The sequence below is a fragment of the Homo sapiens genome, chromosome 1 (genome assembly GCF_000001405.40).
Source record: "Homo sapiens chromosome 1, GRCh38.p14 Primary Assembly".
NCBI classification, from domain to species: Eukaryota; Metazoa; Chordata; class Mammalia; order Primates; family Hominidae; genus Homo; species Homo sapiens.
In genome coordinates, this window is record NC_000001.11 from 9566430 (window position 1) to 9578828 (window position 12399).

At 45.3% G+C, this 12399-nt stretch overlaps 1 protein-coding gene and 1 pseudogene across 1 annotated transcript in view; both read left to right on the forward strand.

Moving 5' to 3' along the window:
- Window positions 1–12399, forward strand: part of SLC25A33 (solute carrier family 25 member 33) — a 45709-nt gene that overhangs the window by 26965 nt on the left and 6345 nt on the right. The window contains exons 3-5 of the mRNA NM_032315.3: window positions 855–932; window positions 3829–3929; window positions 6917–6983. Coding sequence (NP_115691.1) covers window positions 855–932; window positions 3829–3929; window positions 6917–6983 — 246 coding nt within the window. The remainder of the gene's footprint in view (window positions 1–854; window positions 933–3828; window positions 3930–6916; window positions 6984–12399) is intronic.
- Window positions 9976–10652, forward strand: RPL9P11 (ribosomal protein L9 pseudogene 11; annotated as a pseudogene).

Genomic DNA, 12399 nt, shown 5'->3' on the forward strand with positions numbered 1-12399 from the left:
CTGAACCTGTTTCTCAGTGAATCTTATTATGATGAGGAAATTATTCCCTGTGTGGCACCCTCTGCCAGATACTCATCCTGCTTTCACAGGATTTCATTGTATAGTACAGACTCTGCACAGCTTCCTCCTGTGTTGGGCCGGGTGTGGTGGCTCATGCCTGTAATCCCAGCACTTTGTGAGGCTGAGGCGGGCAGATCACCTGAGGTGAGGAGTTCAAGACCAGCCTGACCAGCATGGAGAAACCCCATCTCTACTAAAAATATAAAGTTAGCTGAGCGTGGTGGTGCATGCCTTTAATCCCAGTTACTCGGGAGGCTGAGGTAGGAGAAACGCTTCAACCTGGGGGGCGGAAGTTGCAGTGAGCCGAGATCACGCCATTGCACTCCAGCCTGGGCAACAAGAGTGAAACTCCGTCTAAATAATAATAATAAATAAATAAAAATACAAAATTAGCTGGGTGTGGTGGTGAGTGCCTGTAATCCCAGCTACTTGGGAGGCTGAGGCAGGAGAATTGCTAGAACCCAGGAGGCAGAGGTTCCAGTGAGCCGAGATCATGTTACTGCACTCCAGCCTGGGCAACAGAGCGAGACTCCATCTCAAAAAGAAAAAAAAAAGGGAGAGAAAGAAAATATGTCTAACTGATGCTTTTTGAGGCATGTTTTTTCACTGTGCTAATGATAGCAGTATTCTACAGCCTTCCGATTCTGTATTGTAACCAAATCAGATAAGAGTCGAGCTTGACATCTCTCAAACATTTTATTCTCTCAAGGAACTAATGAGAAGGTTGACTCTTTATCATTTTTAATAGGCCTTGCCTGAGGGGTTTTAAAGGTTTGTCTTTTCTTATTATTCAGGTCGATCTTGGAGAAAGAGGGACCAAAGTCACTTTTTAGAGGCTTGGGTCCAAATTTGGTTGGAGTTGCACCATCAAGGTAAGCATTAAACTTTCCAGCTAGCTCATGCTAAGCAGTATGGAATTCTGGGTCCTTTCTTACCAAAGGGTGATGCTGCTGAATGACCAGTGTCTTTTTCTATGTTGGATTTGCCTAAATATAGCGGACATAGCAAATAGTCATTGAGAATGCTAGGCGTGTCTTCAGTGTGTGAAAGAAAGGATTCTACTTACTGTATTCTTTATATTCTTAAGTGTGAAAATTAATCTGCTATCATTACTGTAATGTACTTTAAGTGTTTGCTACTCTAAGTATGGCATGTGGCCAGCAGCATTAGTATTGTATGAGAGCTTGTTATAAACACACAATCCCAGGGCACATCCCAGACCTACATCAGAATCTGCATTTTAACAGAACCCCCAGGTGACTCCAACGCAGTTAGAAACACTGATCCAGAGGAATTGTAAAGGCTTTTAACTTCACTTTCTGTAAAATGACATCCTCATATCTTTGCAGGGCTTCTCCTGAAAGCCTGTTTGAAATATACAGAACTGTACTGTCCCAGTACATAAGGGTAGTCACTGGCCACATGGAGCAGTTTAAATGTAAATTAATCAGAATTAAAGGTTCAGTTGCTCAGTCTTCATGTTTCAAGCACTCAATCTCCACATGCAGCTAATGGCTACTGTATTGAAGAGCAGAGATACAGGGCATCCTATCTTGGCAGAAAGTTCTCTTGGATAGATAGGATAGAGAGGATAACAGTGTATGATTGTAAAAGTAACAGAGACAGATAGAGAATAGCATATCTGGAAAGTAGATTAAAAACTGCTTCCAGGCCGGCTGTGGTGGCTCACCTGTGTAATCCCAGCACTTTGGGAGGCTGAGGCAGGTGGATCACCAGAGGTCAGGAATTGGAGACCAGCCTGGCCAACTTGGCGAAACCCCATCTCTACTAAAAATGAAAAATCAGCCAGGCATGGTGGCAGGCACCTGTAATCCCACCTACTCTGGAGGCTGAGGCAGGAGAATTGCTTGAACCCAGTGGGAGGCAGAGGTTGCAGTGAGCTGAGATCATGCCGCTTCACTGCAGCCTGGGTGAAAGAGTGAAACTCCATCTCAAAAAGAAAAAACAAAACAAAACAAAAAAACTTCTTCCAGAAAGGACCTCCTGAGAAGGGAACTGGGTGGCAGGGCAGGACACTTAACTTGTCATACTCCAAGAGACTTGAAAGAAAATGAAGTCTGGCCGGGTGCGGTGGCTCACGCCTGTAATCCCAGCACTTTGGGAGGCCGAGGCCGGGGGATCACGGGGTCAGGAGATCGAGACCATCCTGGCTAACGCGGTGAAACCCCGTCTCTACTAAAAATACAAAAAACTAGCCGGGCGTGATGGCTGGCACCTGTAGTCCCAACTACTCAGGAGGCTAAGGCAGGAGAATGGCATGAACCCGGGAGGCGGAGCTTGCAGTGAGCTGAGATCGCTGCACTCCAGCCTGGGCGACAGAGCGAGACTCTGTCTCAAAAAAAAAAAGAGAAAATGAAGTCTTACAACAAAAATGAGAATGTTGTCTTATATAGGGTGAAGACCAAAAGCTTATAGAATTCTTCCAGATCAGTGCTCCAATTTAAACATAAATCGGCTGGGCGCAGTAGCCCACACCTATAATCCCTGCACTTTGGGAGGCCGAGGCAGGCGGATTACTTGAGGTCAGGAGTTTGAGACCAGCATGGCCAACATAGTGAAACCCCATCTCTACAAAAATACAAAAATTAGCCAGGCGTGGTGACATGCATCTGTAATCCCAGCTGCTCGGGAGGCTGAGGCAGGAGAATGGCTTGAACCCAGGAGGTGGAGGTTGCAGTGAGCCCAGGTCACGCCACTGCACTCCAGCCTGGGTGACAGAGCGAGAACTCCATCTCAAAAAAAAAAAAAACACAGATCACCTGGGGATGTTATGAAAAGGCAGACTTTTTTACTGCTTTTGTTCCTTTAGAATTTTGTAGCAAGTATGTGTGATGTATTTAAAGACAGAAAGTACTAGTCTGTGAGATGATCTGGGGTGTGCCTTATTCATAGATGGGAAACCTACTGCCCATCTGTAGTAAATAAAGTGAGAAGAGCCCTCGCTGCTCACAGGCAATGCTCCTACAGTGTAACCCTGGTAACCTGATGCAGATTCCTGACTGCCTCACCCATTAGGGGAAATGGAAGACTTTTAAAACACAACAATGATAAGTAGTTAAGATCCTAAACTGCAAAATATATTCTATGATTGATTCATTGACCAGCAGAAGAAAGAAACATTTTCCCTGCATTGCTGGTGAAAGAGCAGGAAAAATCCCAAGTAGCTCCTATTTCCCAGCCCCAACAAGAGGGAAGACAGCAGGGGGAAAAGTGAAGAGAAAACAAGGGTGACGGGACCACTTTGCGGTAGTCAAGGCAGGGGGTGGCGGAAGGGCCCTTTATGAAAACACAGGTATGATATGATGGCTGTTCCTGTGTGTTCCCGAGTCACCCAAAAACAGTTCAAATTATGTTTGACATTCTCATTTTGGCACAGGGTGAAAAAGTGTGGTCTATTCTAGAAACAAAAAAAAAAATTAAAACTTCCAATGTGTTGAAGCTTAAAGGATTAGCATTTATCCAGAACGAAGAATGTAAAAGGACTTTGTAGATGTCTTCCCCAAATCTCACTTTCCTCAATTATTTTTGAACACCTCTGTCACCACTAAATCATTTCTGGAGGGACACACAGGAGCTTCCTGAACGTGCCTGTGGCAGGTTTTGGTTTTAGCACAGGCGAGGACAAGCTTTTTAGTACATGGCAGCATCTTTCCCATTTTATTTTCCGAAAATTTTTCAGGTGTTCTGGAGGGACGTATAAAGTTGCACTGTGATGATTTCTTTATAATGTTCTCTTTGTTCTAACAGGGCTGTATACTTTGCATGTTACTCCAAAGCCAAAGAGCAATTTAATGGCATTTTCGTGCCTAACAGCAATATTGTGCATATTTTCTCAGCTGGCTCTGCAGGTATGTTACCCTAGTGAGTGAAGAGAGGGTCTCTCTCTCACTTTTCTAAAGCATGCATTGTGCCAGTTTTTCCAGGAATTAGAAATTAGCTCCTTGCTTCCTTTGCACCTAAAATTGTTTTTCTAAAGCTTTATGTTACAACCAATAGGAGAGTGAGAGCGGTTTGTAGCTTGATTTTATTTTCCTTGACCACTAAAGCTCTTTATTTGCCCTCAAAATGTACATGTTCTATGCATGCTACTGGTATTTTGTTCTTCTAAAGGAATATTCATAGGTTTTTCATGTCTTCTGTTTGCCCATCAAATGATATAGATAGATAGATATAGATAGATAGATAGATATAGTTTTTTTTTTTTTTTTTTTTTTTGAGACAGAGTCTCACTCTGTCACCCAGGCTGGACTGGAGTGCAGTGGTGCAATCTCGGCTCACTGCAGCCTCCTCCTCCCAAGTTAAAGTGGTTCTTGTGCCTCAGCCTCCTGAGTAGCTGAGATTACAAGTATTTGCCACCATGCCTGGCTAATTTTTGCATTTTTAGTAGAGACGAGGTTTCACCACATTGCCCGGGCTGATCTCAAACTCCTGACCTCAAGTGATCCACCCTCCTCGGCCTCCCAGAGTGCTGGGATTACAGGCATGAGCCACTGCGCCCAGCCCCATCAGATGATTTTCTAAAATTAGAGTTTCTTTCTTCAGATTCCCCACAGGGTCCCACACACCCTGTGTACAATTGGCACTCCTGTCCCCAACTATGGGTTATGCAATGAGGGTGTAGGGCTTGCAGTAGAGTTTCTAGTAGGGTCAGTGACAGCTCATAGGGCATCTGTTCTCTTTTGAGGGAACCATTCCACTTCCTACTGAAAAGCCATAGCGGGACTTCTTCCCCGGGATGTACTTGCAAAACATGAACGTGTAGATTTCTGAGAGAAGGGAAGGCTTTTTTGTTTGTTTGTTTTTGAGACAGAGTCACTCTGTCGCCCAGGCTGGAGTGCAATGGCGCAATCTCGGCTCACTGCAACCTCCGCCTCCTGGGCTCAAGGGATTCTCCTGTCTCAGCCTCCCGAGTAGTTGGGACTATAGGCACGTGTCACCACACCCAGCCAATTTTTTGTATTTTTAGTAGAGGCAGGGTTTCACCGTGTTAGCCAGGATAGTCTCGATCTGCCTGCCTCGGCCTCCCAAAGTGTTGGGATTACAGGCGTGAGCCACCCCACCCGGCCGAGAAGGCTCTTTTGTATAGAGTTCTATGTTCATTTAAACAGAAGGGTTTTTTTTTTTTAATTGGTATTGTTTTGTTTTGATACAGGGTCTGGCTGTGTCACCTAGGCTGGAGTGCAGTGGCATGATCTCAGCTCCCTGCAACCCCCACCTCCTGGGCTCAAGCCATCCCTCCTGCCTCAGCCTCCTGAGTAGCTGGAACTATAGCTGCATGCCACCATGCCCAGCTAATTTTTTTGTATTTTTTGTAGAAATGGAGTTTAACCATGTTGCCCAAGCTCGTCTCGAACTACTGAACTCAAGTAATTCACCTGCCTTAGCCTCCTAGAGTGCTGGGATCGCAGGCATAAGCCACCACGCCGAGCCTAGAAAGATATTTTAGAGAACTTAAATTGGCATTTTACGAAAAATTTGCATCTCCTACCAGTCTGTAAGATGTACACACCAGTTTTGTCTGCCGTTGTTACTCCAAATACAAGTATGACCAACCTGTCTGAATATTTATAGCTAATTATTTCTAGACCCTGAATAGAAAATCTTAAAGTTGCTTTATACAAGGAAGCCATTTCTATGTGATACAGAGCTCTGAGGAGGAAAGGCAGAGTTCCAAAACAGGTAGCCCTTTACTTAAAGATAGGCCAGTAGTGAGTTAGCATAAGCTAACAACTATTAATCTGTTTTGTAACTTTTGCAAAGTTAACTTAGAACCCTTGATAAATAAAGCAGACCTCAAGGAAGTTCTTAAAACCAGTGTCAGCCGGGCTTGGTGGCTCACGCCTGTAATCCCAGCACTTTGGGAGGCCGAGGCGAGCGGATCACGAGGTCAGGAGATCGAGACCATCCTGGCTAACACGGTGAAACCCTGTCTCTACTAAAAATACAAAAAAAAAAAAATTAGCCAGGCGCGGTGGCGGGCACCTGTAGTCCCAGCTGCTCGGGAGGCTGAGTCAGGTGAATGGCGTCAACCCGGGAGGCGGAGCTTGCAGTGAGCCGAGATCGCGCCACTGCACTCCAGCCTGCGACAGAGCAAGACTCCCATCTCAAAAAAAAAGAAAAAACCAGTGTCTTCCTAGTATCAAATTAATCTGCTTCCACAGCACTATAGAGGGTGTGAGGTATTACAGAAGAGATACTGTATGTCAGACTGATACCATGGTGTTGCTTTTTTTGGTTGTCCTAGAATGATTCACAGTGTTAGGTGAGGGAGGTTTGGCTGGGTGTGTTGGCTCATGCTTGTAATCCCAGCATTGTGGGAGGCTGAGGCTGGAGGATCCCTTGAGCCCAGGAATTGAGACTAGCCTGAGCAACAAGGGAGACCCGTCTCTACAAAAAAAAAAAAAAAAATTTTTTTAAAGAGATGGAGAAGGCATACTCACCAAATGGTTATCATATAACCAAATAAGCAGATCAGTCTTAAAAGTTAAATTATTTCTGGATCTGAGGCTTATAAATTGAGGTTTAGGACAGTTACAATTTTCAGTAGGAATCACATTAACACAGATATCAACACCACCACCTACAGGTTGAAAAGACTAGAAGGGATTCTAGAAAATTAAGAGAAATTTATTTTAGATCCAGCAATACCAATAGATGTTACACTTAATGGGGAAACTGAAGCTTCTATCTGCAGGATAGAAATATAACTGCTTCCTACTGTCTTTTTATTAGGCCATTGAAATCCCTATTTCAAAGTTTATTATATGATAATAGACATCTTTAATAAGTATGGACTATGTACAGTGTTGACCTTTACTGTTTTTTTTTTTTCCAGCTTTTATCACAAATTCCTTAATGAATCCTATATGGATGGTTAAAACCCGAATGCAGCTAGAACAGAAGTAAGTTATTATTTGTTCCTTCCTTAATGAAAGGATTTTTGGGATTTTTTTTTCTTGCCCCAATTCCTCCACATCTCTAAGGATGAGATATAGAGATGTACCCCCCTCCTCGTTTCCTTAATCTAAGTGCACGCAGGATTCCTTTTGTGTTGAGGTTTGTGCTATAAGCATCATGGGAAGATGAGGGCGACAGAGATGACAAACAGGGGAAGGAGGGGATATCTCTGGTTGTGTCCCCTGATCCGCAGTCCCACCTGTTGTCTCAGAGAGTCAGTGACTGTCTCTCCTTTGCAGACCCCACCCCAGTTGAAGTGCTGTGGGTTCTCCTCCGGATGGTCTCCCTTTCAAAAGGGAAGACAGTACAGGCACAACACTGAGTGTCCTCAGACCTCAGAGGGCTAATTTTAGTCTCCAAAGGCCCTCAGCTGTAATAGGTTTCTACCCTCAAGCTCCAGCCAGGGGTTTGTAACATTTTGTGGGGCTCTGTGGATTCCTTTGGTAGTCTGGTGACACCTGCAGGCCCTTTTTAGAATAATGTTGTTTTTTGAGTTTTTTTGTTTTTTTGTTGTTGTTGTTGTTGTTTTGTTTTTTTGTTTTGAGATAGGGTCTTACTTGTTGCCGAAGCTGAAGTGCAGTGGTCCAATCTTGGCTCACTGCAATCTATGCCTCCTAAGTAGAATAATGTATTTTGTTTCCTTTTCTTTTCTTTTTTTTTTTTTTTTGTTCTTTTGAGGCAGGGCCTCATCTATCACCCAGCCTCGACCTCCCAGGCTCAAGCAATCCTCCTGCCTCAGCCTCACCTCCTCAGTAGTTTGAGACCACAGGTGCATGCCACCACACCCAGCTAATTTTGTTTTTCTTGTAGAGATGGATCTTGCCATGTTGCCCAGGCTGGTCTCAACTCCTGGGCTCAAGCAGTCCTCCTGCCTTGGCTTCCCAAAGTGCTGGTATTACAGGCGTGAACCACCACACCAGGCCTTAATAAGGTTTTTAAAAATACACTTGTCAGTGATACAGTAGTATGCCTCTTTAACACATTAAATTAATAAGATATGGCAGTAGTCCAGTAACTACTATAATTTCTAAGAAATGATAAACAGTGTCCTGTGATGTTTTCAACAAATGTAATGTGACATGAAAATATTTCTGTGTGTGTCAAATCACAGTTACTACTGCTGCTACTACTGTGGCCTGTGTATTTACATTCGTAATGAATACAATTAACCCAAGCTAATGGAACCCGGTGTAAAGAGTGTTTTAGACTTAATAAAGCTAAGCTTCATCTAAGTTGTAAAAAACCCTAGCTGAAATAAAATAAACTATGAAGGTGGCTTTAATACTTCTGAAGACACAATAGCTAAGACCCAAATTGGGATTAGATACCCCACTATGCTTAGCCCTAAACTCCAATAGTTAACAACTTCAACTATTGGATTTCGGTTAGGGATTAGGGTTAAAGATGCATTTTCTCCCCAGTCCAAGTGAAGGAACTACCAGCATTCTATTAAGAACCCCTGTAGGCCGGGTGCGGTGGCTCACACCTGTAATCCCAGCACTTTGAGAGGCTGAGGCGGGCAGATCACGAGGTCAGGAGATCGAGACCAACCTGGCTAACACGGTGAAACCCTGTCTCTACTAAAAATACAAAAAATAAGCCGGGCGTGATGGTGGGCGCCTGTAGTCCCAGCTACTTGGGAGACTGAGGCAGGAGAATGGCGTTAACCCGGGAGGTGGAGCTTGCAGTGCGCCAAGATCGTGCCACTGCACTCCAGCCTGGGTGACAGAGCGAGACTCTGGCTCAAAAAAAAAAAAAAAAAAAAAAATAAGAACCCCTGTATTACTGTGTTGCCTGGAAATGTATGCACTGGAAACTTCCAGCCAGTCCACTCTGATTTTCAGCTGCCTCTAAAGAAAGGAGGCAGAGCTGGGCGTAGTGGCTCATGCCTGTAATCCCAGCACTTTGGGAGGCCGAGGCGGGTGGGTCACAAACTCAGGAGTTCGAGACCAGCCTGGCCAACATGGTGAAACCCCGTCTCTACTAAAAATACAAAAATTAGCCAGGCGTGGTGGTGGGCGCCTGTAATCCTAGCTACTTAGTAGAGTGAGGCAGGAGAATCACTTGAACCCGGGAGGTGGAGGTTGCAGTGAGCCGAGATCACACCACTGCACTTCAGCATGGGTGATAGAGTAAGACTCTGTCTGGAAAAAAAAACGAAAGCAAAACGAAAGGAGGCAGGGAGTACCCCAGGAAGGGTAGGTAGGGGCCCCAGTTCATTTTTCTTCCTAATGACCATGATAACCTCTGCATGAGTCACTTGACTCCAAGTTCGCCCAATCAATCTATTCTGCCCAAAAGAGCCTTCTAACATGCATCAGGTATAATCATTTGAACAGACCACTTGTTCAGACTCTTTTGATGAATCTGTTCCTCTCAGGGTAAATTCCTAATTCAGCAGTCCTGTAGTTTTCCAAAAATGTCATGTGCTTTTATTGCTCTGTCTCCCCACATATGCTGTCCCTCACCAGAGATTCCCCCTTCCCCTTCCTGGTCATGCTGTCACCTGTTGTGGAAGCCTTTGGTAATTCCTCCTAATTCCAAGTGTCCCATAGTAAACTCATATCACTTCTGTTTAGCAAGGGATAAATGCGTCCATCAGCTGAGAGCCTGTATATGTATTCTTGTCATTCTGCCTAATGATGGTGCTCAAGAATACTTTAGAACTTTGGGTGAGCTCTGTTAATATTTGTCTCTCAGCAGTGAATATTTGTTGCTTGCACTAGTCACTAGGGAAACAGCAGGGAATTAAGACCTAGCTTCTAGGAACTTACAGCTTCACAGATAAGATAATTAAAGTTTGGTGGGATAAGGTTGCTGAGGGTGCCACTAGACCTTCAAGAGTCACCCAGTACAGGTTGGGTTAAGAGAGAGAAGGTTGGGAGGGCCTTCAGAGGCAGCAGCACCCAACTCCCATCTTAAGAATAGCCAGGTGGGCTTTGCCGTGTCTACTGTGAAAATGAAGACCATTCACAGCAATCAGACTGTTGTCATTCCAGAAAATGTCAACATTACCCTGAAGAGATGCACAGTTACTGTGAATGGCCCCAGAGGAACCATGCAGAGGGACTTCAGTCACATCAATGTAGAACTCAGTCTAAAGAGGCTCTGGAGTGCCACACGGTGGGGTAACAGAAAGGAACTGGCTACCGTTCGAACTGTTGGTAGTTATGTGCAGAACACGATCAAGGGTGTTACACTGGGCTTCTGTTACAAGATGAGGTCTGCGTATGCTCACTTCCCCACCGACATTGTTATCCAGGAGGATGGGTCTCTTGTTGAAATCCGAAATTTCTTGGATGAAAAATACACCCGCAGGGTTCAGATGAGACCAGGTGTTGCTTGTTCAGTATCTCAAGCCTAGAAAGATGAATTTAATCCTTGAAGGAAATGACATCGAGCTTGTTTCAAATTCAGTTGCCTTGATTCAGCAAGCCACAACAGTTAAGGATATCAGGAAGTTTGGGGATGGTATCTATGTCTCTGAAAAAGGAACTGTTCAGCAGGCTGATGAATAAGATCTAAGAGTTGTCCCGCTACAGAAACAACATGCTGGATGATTCCTAAGACCTATTGGTGATATTTAAATGATGCCATAAAAGACATTGATTTGGGAAGAAAAGAATAGCCAGGTGGGGGCGGCAGAGAAGAGTCTTTTGGGCAGAGAGAAGGTGAGTGTAGAAATCTTGAGTCAAGAAAGCATGGTTAGGCTGGACTCGGTGCCTCACACCTGTAATCCCAGTACTTTGGGAGGCCGAGGTGTGCGGATCACTTGAGCTCAGGATTTCGAGACCAGCCTGGCCAACATGGTGAAACCCTGTCCTACAAAAATTAGCCGGGTGTGGTGTCATGCCTCGGGAGGCTGAGGCAGGAGAATGGCGTGAACCCGGGAGCCTGTAATCCCAGGGAGGCTGAAGCAGGAGAATTGCTTGAACCCAGAAGTTGAGGTTGCAGCTGAGATTGCACCATTGCACTCCACCCTAGGGGACAGAGTGAGTAAGACTCCATCTCAAAAAAATGAAAAAAGGAAAAAAGAAAAGAAAGCATGGTTAGTTCTGGGGAGCCGTAAGACAGGGAGTGTAGTTGGCGTGTAGTACGTGCATCTGCGCTGGAGAAGGGAGTTATGGAAGAATAAGGCTGGAGGAGCAGGGGAGCCCGATCCTTCCCAGGCCTGAAAGGGAGTTTGGAGTTGGGCTTTGAGGGCAGTGGAAAGTCATCAGAGCAGTGGTCCTCAGGGGAAATGGAGGATGGAGGTAGGGGGTGCCCTCCAGGGGACATTCAGCATTTAAGTTTGGAGACATTTGAAGTTGCCACAACTTAGGTGAGTGTTTTTGGTGCCTAGTGTGAATAGAGGCCGGGATGCTGCTAAACCCTACAAGGCACATGACAGCCTGCTTCTCCCCAAACTGAATAGTTTAGCCCCAAATGTGAATAGCGCCAAGGGTGAGAAACTCTGGATGTTTTGTTTTGTTTTGAGACAGAGTCTTACTCTGTTGTCCAGGCTGGAGTGCAGTGGTGCATCTCAGCTCACTGCGAGCTCCGCCTCCCGGGTGCACGCCATTCTCCTGCCTCAGCCTCCCGAGTAGCTGGGAAGTGCCCGCCACCATGCCCGGCTAATTTTTTGTATTTTTTAGTAGAGACGGGGTTTCACCGTGTTAGCCAGGATGGTCTCGATCTCCTGACCTCGTGATCTGCCCACCTCAGCCTCCCAAAGTGCTGGGAATACAGGTGTGAGCCACCGCACCCGGCCTCTGGATGGTTTTAAGCACGGGAGTTGCATGGTTGGATTTGTGTTAGAAAGGTCACTGCCGCTAAGGAGCGGGAACAGTCTATGCGGAGATAATAAAGAAGGGAGAGAGGCCAGCTGAGACTGAAGCCCAAGGGGCCCCAGGTCTGCGCCCGCTCGGAGGGGTCTGTGATGTGTGACCGGTGCACACCTAACTACACTCATCTGGTGGCTCACTCTTGCCTTGCAGCCAGGCAGTTCATAAATGCTTTTTGTCCTGGGGTAGGAGCCTCTAAACCTCATGGTTTTCATTTGCTGTTTTATTTTGATGTTTTATGATTTTATAAATTTAGCAATAATAGAATCTATTTGGAGACGAGTGTGATCAGAAATCTAATAAGTAGCCTCACCAACAGGTTGGAATGTTCCTATTTTTCTTTCTTATTATTTACTTTTTTGTAGAGATAGAGCCTCACTACATTGGCCAGGCTGGTCTTGAACTCCTGGCCTCAAGCAGTCCTCCCGCCTTGGCCTCCCAAAGTGCTGGGATTACAGGTGTGAGCCACTGCTCCCAGCCCTTGTGATCATCCTTTACCTTTAACTTAGTCCTGTTTTCCACTGAAAGCATTCCCTGT